Source organism: Homo sapiens, chromosome 12 (assembly GCF_000001405.40).
Source record: "Homo sapiens chromosome 12, GRCh38.p14 Primary Assembly".
Taxonomy (NCBI): Eukaryota; Metazoa; Chordata; class Mammalia; order Primates; family Hominidae; genus Homo; species Homo sapiens.
The window spans coordinates 123,106,075-123,130,873 of record NC_000012.12 but is presented as its reverse complement, the minus strand read 5'-3'; the positions used below and the strand labels follow the sequence as shown (position 1 = coordinate 123,130,873).

Below are 24,799 nucleotides of genomic sequence, written 5' to 3'. Positions count from 1 at the left end.
CAGCCAGTTTTTCAGGTAGAAGCAATTACATTTATTACAGGGAAGGCTGTTCTCACCTTCCTTTCTGCCCAGCATCTCAAAACTCTTTTTTTTTGAGATGGAGTCTCGCTCTGTCACCCAGGCTGGAGTGCAGTGGTGCGATCTCGCCTCATTGCAAGCTCCGCCTCCTGGGTTCACGCCATTCTCCTGCCTCAGCCTCCTAAGTAACTGGGACTACAGGCGCCCGCCACCACGCCCGGCTAATTTTTTGTATTTTTAGTAGAGATGGGGTTTCACCATGTTAGCCAGGATGGTCTTGATCTCCTGACCTCGTGATCCGCCCGCCTCGGCCTCCCAAAGTGCTGGGATTACAGGCGTGATTGCCGGGCCAATCAAAGCTTTCTTTTGTTTCTCTTCCCCTTCCCCTTGGAGCCAAGAAGGACACAAGGATGGCTCGGTGGCCTTGGGCAAATGACCCTGCCCCCAACCTTAGCTTCTGTTTGCAAATGAAGGAGGCAGAGCTGGGTGTTTCCAAAGGTCTTTTGCATCTATAATTATCTCTACTGTTTTACTGCTGAGATAATTGTGGGCCAGGAAAGTGTGCCCTTCCGTCCCACACAAGGCAGGACTGAAATCCATAGGCCCTCATTTCCAGCCTGTCCCCAAATGCTCTGTGCCATCTCCTGGAAGCCCTCTGGGATTAGCATGATTCATATGTGGTTCCCTGGGGTCCTCACTGTGCCCTGTGTGTGACACATTAATTCACAAGTACTACTGGCCTGGGCGACTTATCGAGACCCCATCTCTGCAGAAAATTTTAAAAATTAGCTGGGTATGGTGGTGTGTACCTGTAGTCCCAGCACTTGGGAGGCCAAGGCGGGAGGATCACTTGAGCCCAGGAGTTTGTGGCTGCAGTGAGCTATGATCGTACCACTGCACTCCAGCTTGGGCAACAGAGCAAGACCTCATCTCAAAAAAAAAAAAACGCAAAACAAAATTCACAAGTACTAGCCTGCCATTCAGATGGTATGCAGGAGTGTGCATGTTCATGTGTGTGTGTTGTTTTCCCCGTGTTCCTCTCCCCTCTGTTTCCTCTGTAGGCAAGAACTCTATGCATTTTTCTGTGTCTCTGTGTTCCCCCAGTACAAGTACCCAGCACAGGACTCATTATGCTGGGTTGTGGGCCAGCCTCAGAAACATAAATATTAGGAGATCTACTAAAAGAAAAAAGAGAAAAATATACAAATAAAACAACTACTGTGCTTTCAGTTGATGCCAGAAAAGCATTTGATAAAGTTCACTATCCATTTAATTTTTTTTTTTTCTTGAGACGGAGTCTCTCTGTTGCCCAGGCTGGAGTGCAGTGGCGCAATCTCGGCTCACTGCAAGCTCCGCCTCCCGGGTTCACGCCATTCTTCTGCCTCAGCCTCCTGAGTAGCTGAGACTACAGGCACCCGCCACCATGCCCAGCTAATTTTTTTTGTATTTTTAGTAGAGATGGGGTTTCACCGTGTTAGCCAGGATGGTCTCGATCTCCTGACCTCGTGATCCGCCCGCCTCGGCCTCCCAAAGTGCTGGGATTACAGGCGTGAGCCACCACGCCCGGCCTATCCATTTAATTTTTTTAGAGACAGGACTCCCATGTTGCCCAGGCTGGCCTTGAACTCCTGGGCTTAAGGGATTCCCCTGCCTCAGCCTGCCGAGTAGTTGGGACTACAAGTGTGCGCCACCATGCCTAGCCTCATTACTCCTTTTTTTGAGATTGAGTTTCGCTTTTGTTGCCCAGGCTGGAGTGCAATGGCAGTGATCTTGGTTCACTGCAATCTCTGCCTCCCGGGTTCAAGCAATTCTTCTGCCTCAGCCTCCTGAGTAGCTGTAATTACAGGTGCCCACCACCACACCTGGCTAATTTTTGTATTTTTAGTAAAGACGGGATTTCGCCATGTTGGCCAGACTAATCTTGAACTCCTGACCTCAGGTGATACGCCCTCTTGGCCTCCCAAGTGCTGAGATTACAGGCGTGAGCCCACTGGCCCCAGCCTCATTAATCTTAAAAACGTAGAGACTGAGGGATAGGCAAATATTTCAACATGATAAAGAATATCTCCCATCGGTAGCTACTTTATCTTTTTTTTTTTTTTTTGATATCGAGTCTCACTGTATTGCCCAGGCTGGAGTGCAGTGGCGCGATCTTTGCTCACTGCAACCTCTGTCTCTGGGTTCAAATGATTCTCCTGCCTCAGTCTCCCGAGTAGCTGGGATTACAGACGTGTGCCACTATGGCCAGCTAATTTTTTGTATTTTTAGTAGAGGCGGGGTTTCAACATGTTAGCCAAGATGGTCTCGATCTTCTGACCTTGTGATTTGCCCCCCTCAGCCTCCCAAAGTGCTGAGATTACAGGCATGAGCCACTGCGCCTGCCCCCCCACCTTTTTTTTTTTTTTTTTTTAACTTGAGACGGGGTCTTGCTCTGTCACCCAGGCTGGAGTGCAGTGGCGTGATTTAGCTCACTGCAACCTCCACCTCCTGTGCTCAAGTGATTCTCCCACCTCAGCCTCCTAAGTAGCTGGGACTACAGGTGTGAGCCCGCTTTTTTTTTTTTTTTTTTTTTTTTTTTTTTTTTTTTTTTTGTAGAGATGGGGTTTCGCCATGTTTACTAGGCTGGTCTTGAATGCCTGAGCTTAAGTGATCCCCCTCGGCCTCCCAAAGTGGTAGGATTATAGGCATGAGCAACCGCACTCAGATACTTTATCCTTAATAGTCAAATGCTCTAGTAGCATTTTCCAAAGTATGTTTGAGGAACACAGAATGCTCCTGGGTATTGCATCAAAAAAGCATTCCAGGGCCAAATAACATCTAGGAAGCACTGTTGCTCTAAGACACATTCCTTTTAATGTCTGTTGCAAGACAAGCATGCCTTCTCTCTCTTTAGTACTGTTCTTTATTCTAGATTCAAGCCAATGCAACAGGCTAGGAAAAAGAGGCAGGCTGGGCGCGGTGGCTCATGCCTGTAATCCCAGCACTTTGGGAGGCCAAGGCGGGCGGATCACGAGGTCAGGAGATTGATACCATCCTGGCTAACGCGGTGAAACCCCGTCTCTACTAAAAATACAAAAAATTAGCCAGGCGTGGTGGCGGGCGCCTGTAGTCCCAGCTACTTGGGAGGCTGAGGCAGGAGAATGGCGTGAACCCGGGAGGCAGAGGTTGCCGTGAGCCGAGATCACGCCACTGCACTCCAGCCTGGGCGACAGAGCGAGACTCCGTCTCAAAAAAAAAAAAAAAAAGAAAGAAAAAGAGGCAGGGCATAACTCTCAGATAGGAGGTTGCAAAATGAATGTTTTGAGTGGATACAGCCGTTGTCTTAGGTTTTCAAAGTAGACAAACTCAAAATTAATTAGAATAAGACAGTATGGCAGCCTGTTGCAAAATAAGTAGGCAAACACCATTGTTTTTCTATGCGTCAGTGGAAACCATTGTTGAATTTGATGGGTAGGAGCACCTCTAACACCTGTTTGCTTGGGCATCAACACGCCAGTGACCTTATTTTCTGGTTAGAAACAAGAGTAACACCCGGACAGTTCAGGCAGCTGCCAGCACCTCCTGGGTCCCCTGCGACCTGGACTCCCAGGAAATGGAGGGCAGCGGTGTAAGTGGCGTGATGCAGGGTGTTCAGCATCTCTCAGTGGGGTTATTCTGAGGACTCTTCCAGAATGTTTTGAACACATTTGTGCACCATTAAGTCGTTGTCACAGAGCCTGGAAGTCCATTATTTCAAGCTCAACTCATCCTGGATGATGGATGTGACTTGAGGAGGGATGAACCATTCGTGCATTCTCCAAGGGCAGGGCTCTCAGAAATTCCCTGTAGCTTTGTGGTCCCTTGCCCTGGCATCCCCTAGACCACCATGCTGAGGGCAGTGTTTGGACGAGACCCCAGTGAACAGAGCCTGGTTGTTGGAAGTAAATCTTTTGCTCCTGCTGGAAACCAGAGAACAGACACTGCTTCATCACTGCTGTCATTCATGCAAGCTTCATCACATTTTCCCAGTCATTATCCTGATCTTTCTCAAAGGCAATTCTTGCCTCTCTTTCAATCAACAGAGAACCCTAGAGATAATTCAGTCTTTGAGGGATTGCTGAGTCATTCAGCTGACTGGGGCTACCATGATGAAGCTGAAGTTCCAATGTCATGAATCAGGCTGTTCTCGGAGGCCACGGAAGGGGTGGATGGATGTGTGTCTGCCAGCTGTCCCACAGGCTGAACCCATCATGCTGGCCATACTTCCTAAGTCATCCTCCCTCCTCCCTAGTTCTTTTTCTTTACTCACTCAGTGTGGTTTTGCTACTTTTAATTTTCTGCCTTATTTTAACCATAGTGGTTTGCATGACCACCAGAGGGGTCAGTGTGCAGTTCTCCTAGGACTAAAGCCCTCCAGCTTTGTGACAGCTTTTCGCCTGAAGCTTGGTGGTCTGATCTGCAAGTTGGCCCTCTTCTAAATGGTGGGAGTTGTAGTCAGCTTGCTTGCCAGACTGGATTGTGGAGAATAGTAGGGCAAGAGTGAGAGGTTAATAGGGCAAGAATTCCCAAGCTTACCCAAGGATATGCATCAATCCCTGCAGAACCCTTAGCAGTTATATTCAACTCACTGAAGGGTCTGCTTGGTTTTTAGATCTTCTTTCTGATTCTTTAGGGATATGAGGGTCACAGGATTAAAAGGTAGAGCCTAGGCTGGGCATGGTGGCTCAAGCCTGTAATCCCAGCACTTTGGGAGGCCGAGGCAGGCGGATCACAAGGTCAGAAGATTGAGACCATCCTGGCTAACACAGTGAAACCCTGTCTCTACTAAAAATACAAAAAATTAGCTGGGCGTGGTGGCGGGTGCCTGTAGTCCCAGCTACTCCGGAGGCTGAGACAGGAGAATGGCGTGAACCTGAGAGGCGGAGCTTGCAGTGAGCCGAGATCACGCCACTGCGCTCCAGCCTGGGTGACAGTGCGAGACTCCATCTCAAAAAAAAAAAAAAAAAAAAAAACCCTAATTTTTTTTTTTTTTTTTGAGACAGAGTCTCGCTCTGTCGCCCAGGCTGGAGTACAGTGGAGTAATCTCGGCTCACTGCAACCTCGGCCTCTGGGGTTCAAGCGATTCTCCTGCCTCAGCCTCCTGAGAGCTGGGATTACAGGTGCCTGCCACCACGCCCAGCTAATTTTTGTATTTTTAATAGAGACGGGGTTTCACCTTGTTGGTCAGGCTGGTCTCAAACTCCTGACCTCGTGATCCGCCCCCCTCGGCCTCCCAAAGTGCTGGGATTACAGGCGTGAGCCACAGCGCCTGGCCTGTACCATGCATTTTCTTTGCGTTCTGCTATTCCAAAAGAAATATTAAATATTGGCATTTTAAAACATAAAATAATTAGAATTGAAATTTTAAAAACTCTTGTTAAATCTGTAGCATCAACTTAAATGAACCATCAGTGGTGTGCATCATCCTTTGATATGACTGAGTCTGCTTTTTGTATCCAGATATCAATTATTTATTTGTTTTTGCTTCTACCTAACTTCTTCCTTCTCTAACAATTCAAGACTCACAATTTTCTAGGATTCAAAGAACATTGTTTTTTGAGTGCTTTAGAATCATTTACTCATTCATTCTTTCACTTACTAAAAAACATTTAACATTTGGGAGGTTGAGGTGGGCAGATTGCTTGAGCCCAGGAGTTTGAGACCAACCTGGGCAACATGGCAAGACCTCATCTCTACAAAAAAAATACAAAAATTAGCTGGGCATGGTGACACATGCCTGTAGTCCCAGCTACTTGGGAGGCTGAGGCAGGAGGATCAAGGGAGCCCAAGAGATCAAGGCTGCAGTGAGCTGTGATGTCACCGCTGCACTCCATCTGGACTACAGAGCGAGACTCTGTCTCAAAATAAAAAAAATTTTTTTAACGAAACATTGAAAAGGCTATGCATGATAGTGCACCAGACATTAGCAAGATTCTAAAGATAAATTAGATACATTCCTTATGGAACTTACAAACTCATAGATTACAGTTCAGTAATAAAATATAAAGATCATATATATTTTAAATATTATTTGGGTAAGTAAGTAATGCATTATACTTGGTACCGAAGTGAAAAGCAGCTACAGGCAAACATAAGACTTCTTGCCGGGTTGGGGGATGGGGGAGGGATAGCATTAGGAGATATACCTAATGTAAATGACGAGTTAATGGGTGTAGCACACCAACATGGCACATGTATACATATGTAACAAACCTGCACGTTGTGCATATACCCTAGAACTTAAAGTATAATAATAATAATAAAAAAGACTTCTTGCCACCCCTGTCTTCAATATCTTAGTTTTCCTTCCCAGAGACAGTGATGGTTGCTAGTTTTGTGTGTGTGTCCTCTTTCAGAGAGATTCTCTGTATATATTAATGTATATTACTTTTTAATTTTTTTTTTTGAGATGGAGTCTCGCTCTGTTGCCCAGGTTGGAGTGCAGTGGTGTGATCTTGGCTCACTGCAGCTTCCGTCTCATGGGTTCAAGTGATTCTCCTGCCTCAGTCTCCCAAGTAGCTGGAATTACAGGTGCACACCACCATGCCTGGCTAATATTTTGTATTTTTATTTTATTTTTTGAGACGGAGTCTCACTCTGTCGCCCAGGCTGGACTGCAGTGGCACAATCTCGGGCTCACTGCAACCTCCGCCTCCTGGGTCCAAGCGATTCTCCTGCCTCAGCCTCCCGAGTAGCTGGGGTTACAGGCATCTGCCACCACGCCAGGCTAATTTTTTTGTATTTTTAGTAGAGATAGGGTTTCACCGTGTTAGCCAGGGTGGTCTCGATCTCCTAACCTCATGATCTGCCCGCGTCGGCCTCCCAAAGTGGTGGGATTACAGGTGTGAGCCACTGTGCCTGGCCACTTTTTAAATTTTAAATTTTAATTTTTTTTTTTTTTTGAGGCAGAATCTTGCTCTGTTGCCCAGGGTAGAGTGCGGTGGTGCGATCTCCACTCACTACAACCTCTGCCTCCTGGGTTCAGGCGATTCTTGTGCCTCAGCCTCCCAAGTAGCTGCGATTACAGGAATGTCCCCCTACACCTGGCTAATTTTTGTATTTTTTAGTAGAGCCGGGGTTTTGTCATGTTGGCTAGACTGATCTCCAACTCCTGGCCTCAATTGATCCACCTGTCTCAGCCTCCCAAAGTGTGGGGATTATAGGCATGAGCCAATGCTCCCGGCCTAAAAATTTAATTTAATTTAATTTTTTTTTGTTTTTTTTGAGAGAGAGAGGGTTTGCTCTGTTACCCAGGCTAGAGAGCAGTGGTGTGATCATAGCTCACTGCAGCCTCAAACTCCTGGGCTCAAGCAGTCCTCCTGCCTCAGCCTCTTGAGTAGCTGGGACTAGAGGCACGTGCAACTGCACCTGGCTAATTTTTTTATTTTTGTAGACATGGAGTCTTGCTATGTTGGCTAGGCTGGTCTCAAACTCCTGGCTTCAAGCAGTCCTCTCACCTCGGCCTCCTAGAGTGTTGGGATTATAGGTGTGATCAACCTTGCCTGGCCTATATTACTTAAAAACAAAGCTAAACACAAATGGCTGCCTATTGTTGTGCATCTGCTTTTTTGACTTCACAATACATAAATCCTGCAGATGGTTCTCTGTTGGCTCATGTAGAGTTGTTCAGTTCTTGTAATGGTGGGCTTAGTATTCTGCTCATGGGTGGACCATCATGTGTTAAACCAGGTCCCTGTTGATGGGGTTTTAGATTGTAAGAGCAGAAGATGGGAAGCAAACAGTGCTGTAGCAGGCATCTCAATAAGTAGGTTTTCATGCAAATATACTCTCATGTCTGTAGAATAAATTTCCAGAAGTAGAATTGCTGGGTCAAGGAGTGTTTTTCTTTTATTTTTGTTAGCAATTGCTAAATTGCTCTCCATAAAGGTAGTACCAATTTACACTCCCACTTACAATGTGTGAGTGCGAGGCAGTGGTTTTCAACCTCAAAACCCCAGGCAAGGAAGAGCTTTTAAGTAAAATAAAAATCTGGAGAAAACTCCTTCTGTGTGAGAGCCTTTTCTACCGCAAAGGGCAGGCTGTAGGGTAGTTCCTGGCATAGCCAGTTAAGACTGTTCATTCCCATTAGCTGCCAGCTTGCACACGACTGAGGGGCTCTTGGGTTTTTGGATTCCTGTAGTCAGGTTGTGGTCTGGAAGATATGTTCCTGGTAAAGGGTGGGGGCAGCAGCTACCTTGCCCCTTCTCTGTCAGCTTGTTTACCACCGAGTATCTGAGAAACACCAGAAGCTAACCTTCAGGGAGGTTATGTTTTTGGGGGAGCTCAGATGTGACCAGGAGGCCTATCAACAGGCTTGCGACTTGGATTTCCCAGATCTGTAAGTTGACGTCATTTCTTTCTTTCTTCTTTTTTTTGGAGACGGAGCCTTGTTCTGTCACCCAGGTTGGAGTGCAATGACACGATCTTGGCTCACTGCAACCTCCGCCTCCCAGGTTCAAGCGATTCTCCTGCCTCAGCCTCCTGAGTAGCTGGGACTACAGGCGTGTGTCACCACGCCCGGCTAATTTTTGTATTTTAGTAGGGACGGGGTTTCACCATGTTGGCCAGGCTGGTCTCGAACTCCCGACCTCAGACGATCTGCCTGCCTTAGCCTCCTAAAGTGCTGGGATTACAGGCATGAGCCACCGCACCAGGCCAATTGACATCATTTCTAAAGAGATTCCCCAGGGAGCTGGGGGCAGGAGGAATGGAGAGTTAGTATTTGATAGGTACAGAGTTCAGTTTGGGAAGATGAAGAAGTTCTGGAGGTAGATGGCAGTGATGATTGTGCACTTAAAAATGGTTGACGTGTTAGATGGGCATGGCGGTGTGTGCCTGTAGTCCCAACTATAATACTTGTGAGGCTGAGGTGGGAGGATCACTTGAGCCTGGGAGGCAGACGTTGCAGTGAGCCAAGATCATGCCACTGTACTCCAGCCTGGGTGACAGAGCGAAACCCTGTTTCAAAAACAAACAAACAAAAGGTTGACATGGGCTGGGCATGGTAGTCCAAGCCTGTAATCTCAGGGACTCAAGAGGCAGAGGCGGGAGGATTGCTTGAGGCCAGGAGTTAGAGACCACCCTGGACAACATAGACCTTTCCTCTACTAAAAAAAAATTATGTTAAAGTCAGATGTAGTGGTGCGTGCCTGTAGTCCCACCTACTCAGGAGGCTGAGGCAGGAGGTTTGTTTGAGCCAGGAATTCAAGGTTGCAATGAGCTGTAATCATGCCCCTGCACTCCAGCCTGGATGACAGAGTGAGACCCTGTCTCAAAAAACAAATAAAATAAAATAAAAATAAAAAAGTTATTATGGTAATTGTTATGTTATGCGTATTTAACCACAAACACAAAAAAAGGTATAATTCACTGTAGCTATCATCTCATGAACAAAAGGAACACTAAGAAGTAGGAAAGATCTAAGAATAAAGAAACTAAGTGGAGCTTTTTGATTTTTGTTTGTTTGTTTTGACACACGGTCTTGTTCTGTTGCCCAGGCTGGAGGGCATGATCATGTCCTACTGCAGCCTCAAACTCCTGAGTTCAAGAGATCCTTCTATCTCGGCCTCGTAAAGTGTTGGGATCGCAGGTGTGTGCCACCATACCCCACCAAACTGGAGCTCTTTGAACAGCTTGGCCCATTAGCCATGTTCTCATTTCTCCTTGAACCGGTGAGAGCTTGGCCAGGCCTGGCGCTGACCTGCTCACTGGGGTTTGGGAGTCAGCAGAGAGGCCTCTGAGGGCTGGAGCCAGAGTCAGCTCCCCAGAGAAGGAGCCTGGGCTGGGCCTGCAGCAGCTGTGTGTTCTGAGAAGATTCTATTCTCTAACTTGGGAGACCTGGGGCTGTCTCATTTCTCTGTGTTTAAACAAGAAGTGTGTCTCTGGCCTGCTGCCGGATGTTTTGGAGGCTGGTTCAAGTGAAGCACCCAGTGATCTGGGTGTGGTCTTCGTTATGCTTTTCCATTTTCCCCAGGGGCTCAGATAACTTTTGCAAAAAGAGCAGGTGAGCAGAGCAGATGTTTGTTTAGAATGACATGGTGGCTCAGAGTAGGTGCTCAGAGAGGTTGTCCCTGCTGGGGCTGTGGTGTCTGACCAGCAGGGAGGAGCTTTGCAGAGGTATTGTGTGGCCTCTGCACAGCCATCCTGCCCTAAGGTGCTAGGTGTTGTACCAGCAAAGGTCATCATCCCAGACTGTAATTACTCTCAGGAAACATGTGCCACTACATCTCAGTGCCTTTAGAGGATGTGGATGTGAGCTCACTCTCACTGGCCAGGGTGTGACTGACAGTGAATTAGCTTTATGCCACATCTGGCTGAGGGCTCTGACTCTTCCATGATCCACTCTCCATATGAGAGGTCTGTGGTCATCACTCTACTTGCAGAGAGAAAGGCACTAGTCCTATAGAAGACCAAGGAACTCCTATGGCACTCTTGACAAGGAGGCTGCTGCCCTGGGCCAGTGCCTCCCAGCCAACCTGTGACTATTAGACCAGAATGCTGCTTAGACACCTGTTGTCTTACCCCTCCTTTCACAGCCAAAACACAGATTCCAGGAGGTGAGGGGCCGTCGAAGCTCACAGCCAGTTGGAGTCAAAACTGGCTCTTGAACCCAGTCCGTGAACTCAGGTCCTGAATGCTCTGGTTGGGGCATTTTAAATCTTAGAGGGTGTTAGTTATAAGGTGACCTTAAATCTGCGGGTTCATATTTGACAAAACCAAAGCCAGGCCTTTGCTGCAGGTGTGCCCTCAGAAAGCCCTTGTCGGCTATGCAGCAAAACCCCGGCAGGCCATACAGGCACCTGTGATGAGTTTCCCTTTGACTCACTGGTTGTCAAGTAGGTAACACGACTTCACCATACTCACAGGGCAGTATGGTTGCTGAGCTGACACAGCCTCCTCACGTGGGTGGCAAGCGTATGCTTCCCATTAAGAAAATTGCTACTTTTGAACGGGCTCCCAACAGAACTTTTTCTTGCTTACTAAAATTAAGAAAATAATAATAAAACAAGCCACTCAACACCCCAAACTCAAAAAAAAAAAAAGAAAGAAAAGAAAAAGAAGAAATATTTAGCATTGACCCAGAAAAAAAGCCTCTGTATTCAGCCTGATATTAGTACTCATGGAGCCACATGGATGGAACGAAGAAATTTTCATTTAGGTGTGATTAAGATCACATCCTCAGCCAGGCGCGGTGGCTCACGCCTGTAATCCCAGCACTTTGGGAGGCCGAGGCGGGCGGATCACGAGGTCAGGAGATCAAGACCATCCTGGCCAACACGGTGAAACCCTGTCTCTACTAAAAAATACAAAAAATTAGCCAGGCGTGGTGGCGGGTGCCTGTAGTCCCAGCTATTTGGGAGGCTGAGGCAGGAGAATGTTGTGAAGCTGGGAGGCGGAGCTTGCAGTGAGCCAAGATGGTTCCACTGCACTCCAGCCTGGGTGACAGAGCAAGACTCTGTCTCAAAAAAAAAAAAAAAAAAAATCACCATCCTCTATGCTTCTAGATAGAGCACAGCCTTTAGTTGTGCTACCTAATCCTTGTCCCTACCTCCCGAGCATGACAAAGCTTAGGCAGAAGCTGCTTCAAACACAAATGAACTGTGCTGAATTTTCCTCTGAGCATTCTCAGCAGTCCCAGGAGATCATTGGAGAAATCCCCCAGGTGGCCACAGAATCAGAGCTGTCTTGCTGCGTTAAGTCTTGTTGGATCACTTGAGTCCTGAAGAGGCCCTTGGTAAAGGGAATAGTTAGGCTATTGTCATCAACGCTGAGCCCAGATACATCTGGGAGTGGGAGCTGGAGATCTCTGCCCCTGACCTGCAGGTGACTAAAGCTGACAGTGGACACAGGCCACACGGACACAGCCGAGTGACACTGTTTCACGTCCCTGCAGCCTGGCCTCCATCAGCACTAAGGCACAGTATTTGCGGAAGGGCCATGTGTTCGACAATACTTACCATGTCCAGTAGCCAGATGGTCTAAACAACCCATCAGTGGTATGGTATGTAAATATTTTCCATCATTATCATGGTGCTGCCGTGTTGACATTAACGAGGATGAAGAATTACTCTGAGGAGCTCTCCGTTAAGAGCCAGTCAGGCCGCAGGCGGGGCTGCAAAGCTGTCCGTACACCCTGGAGGCTGACAGCTTTCCAGGCTAGCTTGGTTTCCTCTTGCTTCCTCCTCCCAGGCACAAATTCCCTCACACACTGGCCCCGTGGACATTCCCCTCAGAACTCTTCCCAAGCACAATGTCTGTTTCTCATCATGAACTAATGTTTTCCACTATTGGGAAGAGCTTTGTGACCCAGCATATTTCCCTCTTTGCTTTGCCTACCAGGAAGCACACAGCTAAGATTTTACTCATTTGCTTTTAGATTGTTCTCAATTTAGAGCCTTGATAGAGATTTTCTCCCTCCTGTTTGGTTGCTTTCTTTCTTTGCTCATCTCATGTTTGGTGGGAAAATGTGGTGAGCCTATGTTGTAAGGTTTTTGGAAGCAGGCAGTATGGATAGAGCTTGAGCAGGTTCCCATCATGATCGCAGAGTACAGAACTGGTCTGTATCCAATCTCCCTGAACTGTCACCTAGACTGGTAGTTCTAAGAAGGCTAAGATTAGACCTCAGCCTAATTCTCCTGTGTATCTCCTACATATCTGACAATTAGTATCAATTTGGTGAATGTATTAGTTAAGTAATGCTAACTGCTAGACAATTCTCTAGTCTCAGTGGCTTATCACAATAAAGGCTTATCCCCACTCTTGTCTTAGTTGAATTGCATGCTCTGTGAGTGGCCTCCATGTGGTGAATTGGGGACCCAGGATCCTTTCACACTGTGGCTCTCCCATCCCTTGGGGCTCCCCTGGAGTTCTCCAGTGAATCTGTGCAGTCAGCTGGCTGGTAAGCAGAGAAAGAGGGAGCATAGGAGATTGCATGGGGCATTCTGGGGGCCAGGCTTTGAAGTGGTGGACCTCCCCTACTCATATAACTAGTCCCGTAGCCTCACCTAGAGTCCAGGGGGCTAAACATATGATTTAGGGAGAGGAAATTGGACCATGCCAGAGTCTGTCATAGTGAGATATTGAACAATGAATGAACAAATCCATGAAGGGCACAGAGAGCAGAGCAGGGCTCCAGGGGCACACGTCTGAGGAGCCCAGTGAGCACTTCTGTCTGCCTTGCAAACCTAGATGCAAGTCATTGGACTTGATGCAGGGCTTTGGATTACAGGTCAGTATTCCCTTCTGTCCAAATCATAGGATTGTAGAATGTTGGAGCTGAACTGAGAACCCTTTCAGAGGTCATGAAGCCCAGCCTCCTCACTCTACAGATGGGGAAACAGAGGCCCAGTGAGCCGAGCTGACTTACCCAGAGTCAGCAGCCAGAACTCTGGTCTCAATCCCATGCCAATGATCACTTCACTGCACTCAGGGAATCCCATCCATATCTCTGTCCACAGTGTGCAAACCCCTGCTCTGCACAGATAGAGAGTCGTGTAATTAAGTGACAGCTTGAGTTGATCATCTGATGGCCAGCTTACTCCGTAGGATCACTGGAGAAATTCCCCAGCCTCACGACCGCTGTTTGAAACTCAGCACCGGCTTCATTTCAGCATTCACTCCATTGGGATATTGGGAGTGGAAGACTACTCTCTTCCTAAGACTCATTTAAGCACTAACGTCTCTCAGCAACTCTCATATGTGAGGATACAAAAGGTCTTCATGAGTCTTATGATGGAAGTAGAACTTCCTGCAAACCCGCTAGAGAGCTTGGCCACCATCAGTTACCTATTGCTGCTTAACAGAGTACGTCCAAACATAGTGATGCAAAATGCCATTTTATTTATTTGCTCACAGTGTGGCAATTTGGGCAGGGCCCAGTGGTAAGGTTAGCTCATCCCTGTGCCACTGGTGTCAGCTGGAACAACTTGACTACTTGGGGTGGGGGACCCATTGACAAGGTGGCTGGCTGCACTCCTGTGGCTGGTGAGATGGTACTGGTGCTTGGCTGTATCTGCTAGGGCTGCTGGCTGGAACATCCGTTCCCCTCCTCATCACCCGTTGGGCAAGGTACAAGTGGTTGGCTTCTTACCTGGCTTCAGCTTCCCTAGAGTTCAAATGCAGAAGCATCCAGGCTGCCACCACCACTTCATTCTCCTCACTCCTCTCCTGCTTTTTTTTTTTTTTTTTTTTGAAACAAGGTCTTGCCCTGTCACCAGGCTAGAGTGCAGTGACATAATCATGGCTTACTGCAGCCTCAACCTCCTGGGCTCAAGCAATTCTCCTGCTTCGGCCTCCTGAGTAGCTGAGACGCAGGAATGTGCCACTGCTCCTGGCTAATTTTTGTATTTTTTGTAGAGATGGGGTTTCTCTATGTTGCCCAGGCTGGTCTTGGACTCCTGGCCTCAAGTGATCCTCTTACCTTGGCCTCCTGAAGCACTGGGACTACACATGTGAACCACCACTCCTGGCCAGAATGTCTGTCTTTTTTAAGGCTAACATTCCATCATGTAGATAGACTACATTTTGTTTATCTGTTCATCTGTTTGTGGATGCCTGGGTTGTGCCCACCTTTTGGCTATTGTGAAGATTGCTGCTGTGAACATTGGTGCAGAAATACCTGTTTGCATCCTGCTTTCAATTCTTAGCCAGGCCTCCCTAAGCTTAGAGATACAAACCTGGCACAGTGTTACTTCCATCCCATACTGTTGGCTAAAACAGGCCACAAGGCCAGGCTAGATTAAAAGGGAGGGGACTCCACGAGGGCATGGCTCATTGAAGGCCACCAAAGTAACAGTCCCCGGCAACCACCCTGGGAAAAGATCTTTGCAGACCCATTCACATAAACCCTTCCAAAGCCTGGCTGTGCTCCTGGATGCCTCTGGAATATCCAGGTTCCCATGGCCCAAGCAAGGTCCTACTGGAGCCACTCAAACCAGAACCCAACTGTTCCCTCCCTTGGAGAAGGCTGCACGCTTGTGCTGTGTTTTGTATTGCTGATGGTGGTGCCTCCTATTACATAATCTGTTATTCTGTGCTGCACAAGGCCCTGGTTACTTGTCAAAAGTTTCTAAAAGCCAGCTGTATCAGCTCCAGGCAACTGGGGGTGCTGCCTCTCCCTCATAGTATTAGTCACTCTGTACTTAGCTAAATTTAACTTTTTATCATCCAAATGATATTTTTGTGGGCTTGGGATTTTACATAATGCTACCAACTGCTGCAGGCTAAGAATTTCTCCTCTTTGTTATGCGTGTGTGTATGTGTGTGTGTGTGCATGTGTGTGTGTGCGTGTGTGTGTGCGGGCGCGTATTGGGTTTTTTCCCTCCATCAACTTCTGCATGGTTCAGCAAGGCTTGTTCAGTTTCTCTTCCCCTGCTCTGCTTTCCCAGGTCTGGGTTTTGTTCTTTGGGCTCTGCTTTTGCCACTTGCCAGCAGAGAGAAAAATCGCTCCTAACAGTCTTTTAATGGCCCTGCAAATGCTTCCACCTTCACTGGAGGTCTCTCCACTTTGAACGTCTCTGAGGGTTTCCCTGCTGCCTCCAATAATCTGGGCTTCTGAAAGAGAAGCTCAGCTCCAGAGTACAGTGTTTGTTGAAGAAGATGGAAGGGAGGGGGAGTAGGGTCATAAAATAAGAAATCCAGCCAGCCAGCCTGCCCAAGGCATGGGGTCCATGATGCCAGCTCCTCCTCTTGGCCTGTGGGAGGGTGGGTAATGGTGGAGGGTTCAGAGCTGTTCTTGGGAGAATACAGGGAGGTGGGCGGGTGAGAGGATGGAGACCCAGCCTCAGAAGGGCCTGGAGCAGCATGCAGGGAGCTGGAGACACATCTCAGCCACCTGACTTTCCCTGAGTCCCCACTGCTCAGAGGCTGTAGCACGCCTGGCCCTCATGCAGGGATCTCGGGTCTACACCGTAACTGTGCCTGGGAGGTGCCTTCCTTCATTTTCCGGAGGAGGAAGCTGAAGATCAGCTCAGTGAGGTGAAGCAGCGGTAGTAATCACAGCGGCAGCAAAACACTGAGCACTTACTGTGTGCCAGGCATGGTGCTAAGCACTTGCTTTCTTTAGCTCATCGACTCTTCAGCCATTCTATGAATTAGGTACCAGTATCCACTTTCTTTTTTAGATAGGGAAACCAAGTCCCAGAGAGGTTAAGCAGCTTGCTTGAGTGAGGCCTCATAGCTGGGAAATGGAGGACCACATTTCAGAACCTACCTACCTCCAGGACTCCTCTTGCCACCCAGTTCCGTGGCCTCTTCTAGGCTACATGGCTTTCCAAGGGGCACACTGGGACAAAGGGGAGAAATGGCACTTGGACTGTGCTCATTTCCTGGCGTTACTGGGCTGATTCCAGCCTGATTCCGGCCTGATCTAGTTGCCAGGTTCCTCCCATGCAAGCTGTCTTTAAAATAAAGCAGGGTGTATATGTATAGGCGGTCTCTGGGAGGATTCGCCAGAAACTGGAATTTGCCTTTGGGCAGGGAACTGGGTGCTGGGGAACAGGGACAAGAGAGAAACTTACTCTCACCCTCTAACCATTTTATCCTTTTGAGTTTTGAAGGTTTTCAAAATACAGATGCATTACTTGTCTTAAATTAAGTGATGTTATCTTATTAAAAAATTAGGAATAACTAGGTGTATACCCAAAAGAATTGAAAATAAATGTTCACACAAAAATTTGTACAGCGATGTTCACAGTAGCATTTATTCACAATAGCCAAAAGGTGGAACCAACCCAAATGTCCATCGATGGATGAATGGATAAACAAGATGTAGTGTATATAATGGAATATTACTCCATCATAACAAGAAATGAAATACCGACACAAATGCTATAACATTGGTGAACCTCAGAAACATTATGCTAAGTGAAGGATGTCAGACACAAAAGGATACATATTATATGATTCCATTTATGTGAAGTATCTAGAATAGGCAAACCCATAGAGGCAGAAAGATTAGTGGTTGCCAGGGGCAGGGAGGAGGGGAGGATGGGAAGTGACTGCTTATGTGTACAAGTTTTCTTTTTGGGGTGATGAAAATGTTCTGGTATCAGATAGTGGTGATGGTTGTACAACATTGTAAGTAGACTAATAACCGTAGACCTATATACTTTGAAAGGGTGGGGGGGTTTGTTGGGTTTATAGATGGTCTTGCTGTGTCACTCAGGCTGGAGTGCAGTGGTGTGATCACAGTTCACTGCGGCCTTGATCTCTCAGACTCAGGTTACCCTCCCAACTCAGCCTCCTGAGTAGCTGGGATTACAGGCATGTGCCACTACACCCAGCTAATTTATGAATTTTTGTAAAGATGGGGGGTCTCACTATGTTGCCCAGGCTTGTCTTGAACTCCTGAGCTCAAATGATCCTCTGCCTTGGTCTCTCTAAGTGCTGGGATTACAAGCATGAGCCATGGCACTTGGCTAAAAGGGCGGGTTTTATGGTGTGTGAATTATATCTAAATTGAAAAAAATTAGGAACCATGCCTCCAGATGGAGTCAAAGGCCATGCATGGTCTGTTGTCAGCACTCTGGACAGTTTGCCGTGGTTCCACCTACCATACGTATGGGTCTCTCTCTACCCATTCCTTAGCCACCTGCCTCACAGTCGCCATGTCAACGGAGGCTGGAGACAGCAGTGTTTAACTTCGGCAGCACTACCCACTCATTTGGAACTTACACTTTCCACAAGGGCCAGCCTGAGACGTGTGGACGTCTGGGCAGGCTAGTAGCTGGCACCCCATCAAACTGGTATTCTTTAAGTGTTTGTTTGACATTTATTTAGTGGGGATGAGGAGAGACTGATATTCTATTAATAGGAATCATATAGAGAAACAGATTCACTTGCTAATTCACTTTCTTGGACTGAAACAGAGTCAGGGATCTGAAAATTTTTTAGGAAAGCAATTCTGACTTCTGTTGTTCTTGTCCCCTAAGGTATCTTTTTGTTTTGTTTTTCTTTCCCCTGCAGTTTTCCAAATCATTCAAGCAGTATATTGAAGATTTAGGCTGGGTGCAGTGGCTCACGCCTGTAATCCCTGCACTTTGGGAGGCTGAGGTGGGCGGATCACGAGGTCAGGAGATAAAGACCATCCTGGCTAACATGGTGAAACCCCGTCTCTACTAAAAATACAAAAAAATTAGCCAGGCGTGGTGGCAGTCGCCGTAGTCCCAGCTACTCAGGAGGCTGAGGCAGGAGAATGGTGTGAACCCGGGAGGCGGAGCTTGCAGTGAGCCGAGATAGCACCACTGCACTCCAGCCTGGGTGACAGAGCAAGACTCCATCTCAAAAAAAAAAAAAAAAAAGTATATTGAAGATTTGGATTTAAAACTTAAAGGAATGAAATGACATTTGTTCCTGGGAAACAGCAACACGATGTATTATTTGGTCTTGGATGCCCTGCTCCCCTCCAGGACTGTGACTACGTGTGTATGGAACGTACATTACATGCAACAAACCCCAGCAAGGAATTGTGTTTTATTGTGACTTTCCATGTCCCCTTAGGGCAGTGGACAGATTCACTGTTTACCATTTATGTGAGGGGTCACTGGAGGAAAACTGAGTTAGCCAGCAGCACATTTTAATTTCTTTCCAGGGATGTTTTGAGCCCCCTGCCCCTAGAGGTCTGTTCCCCAAGTAGCTGCCTACTGGGTTGGCTCCTTAGCCTGACCCTGCATTCACTTTTTTCACTTTTAATACTTTTAGTCAGAAACATAATTCCCTGCAGTGCCTCTCTTTGCGTTCTGAGAGTGCTTTTTTCTCATAGCCCCTGTGGATCTAATTCTGTGGGGTGTGAGTCACCACTGCCCTTCTCACCCGCCGAGAAGCATTGTGGTGGGCTGGAGCGGGGCTGGTCTACCAAATCTGGCTCGCCATTGATGGGTGCGTTACCATGGCAAACCCTCAACCCTCTCAACAGCTTTCCTCACCTCGAACATGGGGAGACTTCAGAGTTGCTGGCCTCAACTGTGGCCTACGGTGGCATGTAGAGGCAAGGCTGGAAGGCCAGCTTGCTCATGGTCACTGGGAGGGCTGGGACCTGCATCCACTCTGCTGTGGGTGCCTGGGCTGTTTCATCTGTTCCGGGGGTTGAGTGTGTATGTGGGTGTGTACATGCAGCCGTGGAGACAAGGGGCTGGGGCAGGACAGCGATGGAGCCTCAGTCCCACAGAGGAGCCTGCACGGGGGTGGGCATGCAGGACGCGGTGGCGGTGGCGGGGTTGGAAGAGCCGCCCGCTCCCTGCAGCCACACCTCCCACTGCTGTGTATTGCTAGCTATCTTCACACCTCCCCAATTCCACTCTCCCTCCTCTGTCTGGCCGTTCACTTGGCAGTTGATAACTTTGCCATCCCCAGCCACCATTCCATTTCCCTTTGTTAGGGCTGTGCTTGCCCCTAGCGGGCATGGACTGGTGTCTGAGGAGACCCCCACCATGCCTGTCCTCAGCTCCTAAAGCAGGGTTGCCCTGGAATTGGGCATCAGTTCCTGAAACACTCCCAGCTTCCATAGCCAGCAGATAAGCAGCCTCTCTGTCATGGTCATTGGAGAGCCCTGTAGGCTGCTACCTGCTCTCTGGGCCCAGGGTCAGGAGGCTTGTATGTGTGTCAGGCAAACAAGAATGTGTGTTGAGCTGCGAGGTGGGCTACCCGGCTTGTCTGTGGTCCCTGTAGGAGCCCTGGGTTGGGTAGTGGCTTCAGTGGTACCTGTGAAGACTTTGTCATCTCTGAGGCTGTTGGACCTGCGACTCTTTGGAAATCCATTTCTCCACCTTTTTCATTTTGTTTTGAATGCTTGTCTCTGGCCTCTGGGTAGTCAGATCACACTCTGCCCAGCTGGAGGGGCTTGCTGGAAGGCTGGAAGCCATTTGCATCACCCCACAATATGACCATGCCCCTGTCCCGGCATCAGGACGCCATCCTCTCGGACTGTGTCTCCCACTCTTCTTCCTGCATTACCTCATTTTCCAGCCTCCTCTCTGCGGTCTGAAGTCCTCCAATCCCAGTGGGGTTCATGAGTGAAAAATCAAGGTTTGAGACAGAGCTCCAGGGGCCTTTGAAAATAGGATGGCTTATGGTGTGTGCTGGTGGTCTCAGTTCCCACTCCCTGAGCAGTTTTCCTAAGTAGAAGGGGTGCCGGGCAATGTTGGGGTGTATCTGTCACCAATTCTGAGTTAGACACTTGCTTCCTGAATCGTCCTGGGCTGGGTCCCTTTGTAAAATGGAGACACCTTTAGTCAGATGTCCCCTGTTCAATCCTCTTGGTCCATCGGCATTGTGGGTCTCCCAGTTGGATTGGTGTGGAGTGATCAGAGTCCAGGTGTCTCACCTCCTCTCCCATTGTGCTTCTCCCTGCAGGATGCTGGCACGTGTGTCCTGGTCCTCAACAACCTTCTGTGAGCCTAGGGACCCATTTCTCCTCCTTTGACAGGGACATCAGTGGAGCCTTCTCAGACCCACAGGTAAGGCCGTCCACCTGTGCAGTAGCACCCTACTTCCCAGAGCTGAGGCCCTGCAGGCCACCCTGGCCTTTGGAGTTTGAGGGTACGGAGACTTTATTGCTGTTTCCCTTTTCCCCTAAAAACCGGACTATTGTTGGGCGCAGTGGCTCACACCTGTAATCCCAGCACTTTGGGAGGCTAAGGCAGGAGGATCACTGGAGGCCAGGATTTCAAGACAGCCTCGGCAACATAGTGAGACTGCATATCTCTGAAAAAAAAAATTAACTGGGTGAGGTGCCACATGCCTATAGTCCCAGCTACTGGGGAGGCTGATGTAGGACGATCACTTGAGCCCAGGAGTTCGAGGCTGCAGTAAGCCATGGTCGCACTACTTCACTCCAGCCTGAGTAACACAGTGAGACCCCGTCTCTTAAAAAGACACTATAAACCTGACTTTATCTGATTAATGTGGGGTAGATTGTATTTATTGATTACGCTTTTGCAAATATTGACTTCTTTTCACTAAATACGAAAGACCGATGTTCTGCCTCTGGTAGCTTTCGATTCCAAATAGGATAAAAACTGCTTGGGTCAGCCTTTGAGGCCCCAACGGCTGCTATTCTCCTGTTTATAGAGCACCCCAGAGTGGCTCTTTTCTGTTTGCTCTTGAGGCTTAGCCTGGCCTGCTCTACCCTTAGTACATGGAAGAGGACAGGCAGGAGTTATGCTTCTTCTGTGCCTTGGCTGGGAAGCTCAGGCTCTGGCTACTCGCTGGCTTTGGCAGAGAGCAGAGGCTGGGCTGCTGCCTTGCTCAGCTGCCCGCAAGTCATGGTCAGTGGCCCAGAAACAAGCATGAGTGTGGTTTTTAATGCACCATCCCTCTGGATGTACAGTGAGAAGCCAAGGCTGAGTGGAGGGTGGGCCTGAGCCTCTGTCTTGAGTCTCAGGGAGTGCCAGGTCTAGAGATTGAATGGCCCAGGGAGTAGCAGTCTCTCCCCTCCCACCCCCAGCTGGCAGCAGGAGCCCCTGGCCTCCCAAGCTTCTTTCCATTTCGTATTTCTTTGTCTCAGGCACAATCCCTGGCCTTGGCCCCATTTTCCATGCCAAGGCCTTTGTTGGGTGGAACAGGAGGTAAAGTGATTTTTCCTTCTTTTTTTCCTAAATGTTGATGAACCCTTCTCCTGTTCACTCATTGGCTAGTTTCAGCTTTGGAGGCACGGAGGATGGATGTTCCATCAAGGGAAGCTAGCAAAGCTGAGGTGAGGATGCTGGTGGGGGTAGGTTTAATGTACCCAGCCCCTGCTGCATGGGGCTAAGTCCCACAGTAACCATGAGCAGTGCCTGTTAGGGTCCCTTTTTACACAGGAAGCCGAGGCTCAGAGATGGCAGATATCAGCTCCAGGTTGCACAGCTAGTCAGTGGTGGGATTGGGATTGGACCCCGAGTCTAGACCTGGAAGCACATGGCATGGTTTTTCAAATTTGGCCTGTGACTCACAGGGCCCTTGGTTCAGCCCAGGCTCAACTGTTACTTGCTGTCTGATCTCGGGTAAGTCCCTTCCCTTCTCCGGGTGCCCTCATCCTTGCTGGGAAGATAGGGCACGTTGTGATGGGGCCTCTTAAGTTGCCTCTGTGGCTCCGTAGTTCCAGGCTGGCACCGTGGACTGTTATCTTCTCTAATTGCTCATTCTTTTCAGTTGCTGTGAAAAGGCCTCCAAGTGCTAAGAAGAGAGAGTGCTATGTTGTATTTTTTGTTTTTCTGTTTTGTTTTAATTCACTTTCCAAGGTGTCCCAGCTACTGGGAGTGGATGTAGGGGAGGGCACATAGTAACACTCAGCCCTGACTTGCAGCTTCTCCAGGGGTCACTCGGGTTCTGCGGGGTTGGGGCCTCGTGGTTGTCCTGTTGCCAAAGGTCTTGGCTGCCAAGTCGAGGCAGGGCCCGGTGAGAGCTCTTCTGCCCTGCATGGCCTGAGCACTGACATTGCTCTGAGGGACGCTGCTTCAACACAGCCTTGGTCTCCTGTCTCCTTTCTTACAGGAAGGAGGTTCTATTCCTTCTTAACAACTGCATTCCAGAGTGCAGTGGCTTTGCAGAGACCATGGCCTTGCAGCTCACCTCATCCGAAGGTCTTCACTTAGACCTAAAATGTCTTCAGGAATTGTTCTGCTCCACTCATTTGTCCATAAAGTATTTATTGTTACTTAGTTTGCACCAGGGACCATTCCAGTTGCCAGAGACGCCACTGTGAACAAAACAGACAGGCATCCCTGCCCGCGTCTAGTTTATATGCTGGTACATTCTCTGCGCTTTGCTTATGCAGTTCCAGCATCCTGAAATTCCCTCTTCCCACCTCTACCTGTCAGGTTCCTGTTTCACCTTCCAAGCCCATTTCAAACAGCTCCTTTCCTCTAAATTTCTTTGCAAGGCCTGGGTCCGCATTAGCCTCTCCTTCCTCCCTCTGTGCTGTCACGGCATACTGCTTGGACCTCAGAATTCTTGGCATCATTTTCCCTGAAATATTTCAGTAAGTGTCTGTGTCTGCTGTTGACCTGGGAACCTTGTAATGTGGGAGACTTGCCTTTGGGTGCCATCCTTTCCCCCCAGATCCTGGACTAGAGAGCTGGTACCACCTGCTTTTCCCAAAACCCTCCCCTAGAAAATGGCAGGCCCCATGTGAGGATGATTAGGGTTGCCCCCTCCATGCCTCTGCACCCTGCTTGGGAGTTTGTGGCATAGTGACCACCGGGCCCTGGTAGCGAGAGTCATGGGGTGGAGGGAGGCCACACTCCCTGGGGTTCGCTAAGAACGAGATCTTTCCTTCTCCTCTCTCCTCCACAAGGGACTGAGGAAGGAAAGGGCTCAAGGACCAGGGTTTATTTTTAGAAAAGCTCCTTGCTGTGGAGGAATCCAGAGCCCTTCCTTCCAGAAGGTGGGGGTGGCAGGTGGTGGGTGGGGTAGCTGGGGTTGTGTCTCCTACTGCCTGGCTGTCTTTCACAGTAGGGGTCTGCCTTAAAGAGGAGGGTCCCAGCCAAGGAGAATATTTGCCCTTAGCCCTCACAGTTGAAGATGTTTGCCATTCGGCATTGGTGAGCAGAGCTTCTGGCATTGCCATGAGCTTCAGTGTCCCTTGGGCAAGAGCTCAGCGGGGAGGGTCCTGGGCCCAGGCAGTGGCTTCCTTCCGGACTCCCCGTGGCTCAGGCAGGGAGGGGCACTTCCTGCCATTGTCTCTGTGACAGGCCTCAAAAGGTCACTGTCTCCTGAGGAGAAAGAGAGCTCATGACATGGGCAGGGCCTCAGACCACAGCAGCAATGACACAGACTTTCCAGGGCACGTCCCCACCTCCCCATGCTGTACCCCCATCCCCACCTCCAGCCCCTTGGATGAAGTCCCATCCCAGGTGAAGAAGGGACTTATCTCCATCCGTAGCAGCAGCAGAGCCCTACCTGCAGCGAGGGCCTTGCTTCCTAGTCCCTCCTCTCAGGCAGCCCTAGTCCCACATGGGAATGCAGGCCTGTCCGTCCCTGTGAGGTTTAGGTCTGTGATAAGTCTCGCATGTTAGAAGGCTGCCCAGAGAGCCCAGAGCATGGGGAGGTTATGGAGAGGAAGTAGAGGGCTGAGTGCCCTCATGCCCTGGAGCAAAGATGCTGCCCTGAAGTCCACAGAGAGCTCCTCCTCAGCTCCTTTGCTGTCCCCACAGAGCTTGGTAGAGATCTGGGCACAATCTGATGACCCATGTCATGCCCTGGCCAGTTCTGTCACCTGTGCCCCTCCTGACTGCTCCCATCTACATTTTGTTTATTGATATGGTTCTTTGACACACACCTGACGCTGCTCAGTACGCAGGGCTTTAGCCAGAAATTGCTGGCTCTTCTCAGTCTCCTCTTCTTCCTGTTCCCCGGAGCTCTGGGGACTGACCCCTGCATTTGCCTTGTTTGCTCTGATGCAGCATGTCTTCCTGAGAATGTACTTTCTTTTCTTCCTGTTTTTTTTTTTAAAGGAATTATTTACTTATTTTAGAGATGGAGTCTTGCTCTGCCACCCAGGCTGGAGTGCAGTGGTGTGATCATGGCTCACTGCAGCCTTGAATTCCTGGGCTTAAGCAGTCCTCCCACCTCAGCCTCCTGAGTAGCTGGGACTACAGGTGCACACCACCACACCTGGCCCAGAATGTATTTTACTTTCAACAAGGTGGCAGAAGCCTGCATTCCTCTGGCTTGTGTCGAATTGTGCTTCAGAAGGATGTCTTCTGGCTGCCGTGTTGAGAGCAGGCTATCTGGGGTGAAGAGAAGAAGCAGGGGGCCTGTGGCAAGACGATTGTTTCTGGGCGAT

General features: G+C 48.9%; 1 protein-coding gene across 24 annotated transcripts in view, besides 6 other annotated features; it reads left to right on the top strand.

Moving 5' to 3' along the window:
* Positions 1–24,799, top strand: part of PITPNM2 (phosphatidylinositol transfer protein membrane associated 2) — a 168,369-nt gene that overhangs the window by 20,975 nt on the left and 122,595 nt on the right. For all 24 annotated transcript variants that reach the window (XM_047429206.1, XM_047429208.1, XM_047429215.1 and 21 more), the window contains exon 2: positions 20,386–20,489. The gene's annotated coding sequence lies outside the window, so the exon portion shown is untranslated. The remainder of the gene's footprint in view (positions 1–20,385; positions 20,490–24,799) is intronic.
* Positions 2,615–3,226: an enhancer, noted in NCBI's record as "H3K27ac-H3K4me1 hESC enhancer chr12:123612195-123612806 (GRCh37/hg19 assembly coordinates)". NCBI's record gives its function as "activates a minimal SCP1, AML or CMV promoter by ChIP-STARR-seq in naive H9 embryonic stem cells {active_cell/tissue: H9 hESC(naive)}" and the evidence as "EXISTENCE:reporter gene assay evidence [ECO:0000049][PMID:30033119]".
* Positions 10,821–11,634: an enhancer, noted in NCBI's record as "NANOG-H3K4me1 hESC enhancer chr12:123603787-123604600 (GRCh37/hg19 assembly coordinates)". NCBI's record gives its function as "activates a minimal SCP1, AML or CMV promoter by ChIP-STARR-seq in primed H9 embryonic stem cells {active_cell/tissue: H9 hESC(primed)}" and the evidence as "EXISTENCE:reporter gene assay evidence [ECO:0000049][PMID:30033119]".
* Positions 11,635–12,448: an enhancer, noted in NCBI's record as "NANOG-H3K4me1 hESC enhancer chr12:123602973-123603786 (GRCh37/hg19 assembly coordinates)". NCBI's record gives its function as "activates a minimal SCP1, AML or CMV promoter by ChIP-STARR-seq in naive and primed H9 embryonic stem cells {active_cell/tissue: H9 hESC(naive and primed)}" and the evidence as "EXISTENCE:reporter gene assay evidence [ECO:0000049][PMID:30033119]".
* Positions 22,951–23,691: an enhancer, noted in NCBI's record as "H3K27ac-H3K4me1 hESC enhancer chr12:123591730-123592470 (GRCh37/hg19 assembly coordinates)". NCBI's record gives its function as "activates a minimal SCP1, AML or CMV promoter by ChIP-STARR-seq in primed H9 embryonic stem cells {active_cell/tissue: H9 hESC(primed)}" and the evidence as "EXISTENCE:reporter gene assay evidence [ECO:0000049][PMID:30033119]".
* Positions 22,951–23,739: a biological region, named in NCBI's record as "H3K27ac-H3K4me1 hESC enhancer GRCh37_chr12:123591730-123592470".
* Positions 23,530–23,739: an enhancer, noted in NCBI's record as "active region_7252". NCBI's record gives its function as "activates an Ori minimal core promoter by ATAC-STARR-seq in GM12878 lymphoblastoid cells {active_cell/tissue: GM12878}" and the evidence as "EXISTENCE:reporter gene assay evidence [ECO:0000049][PMID:35858748]".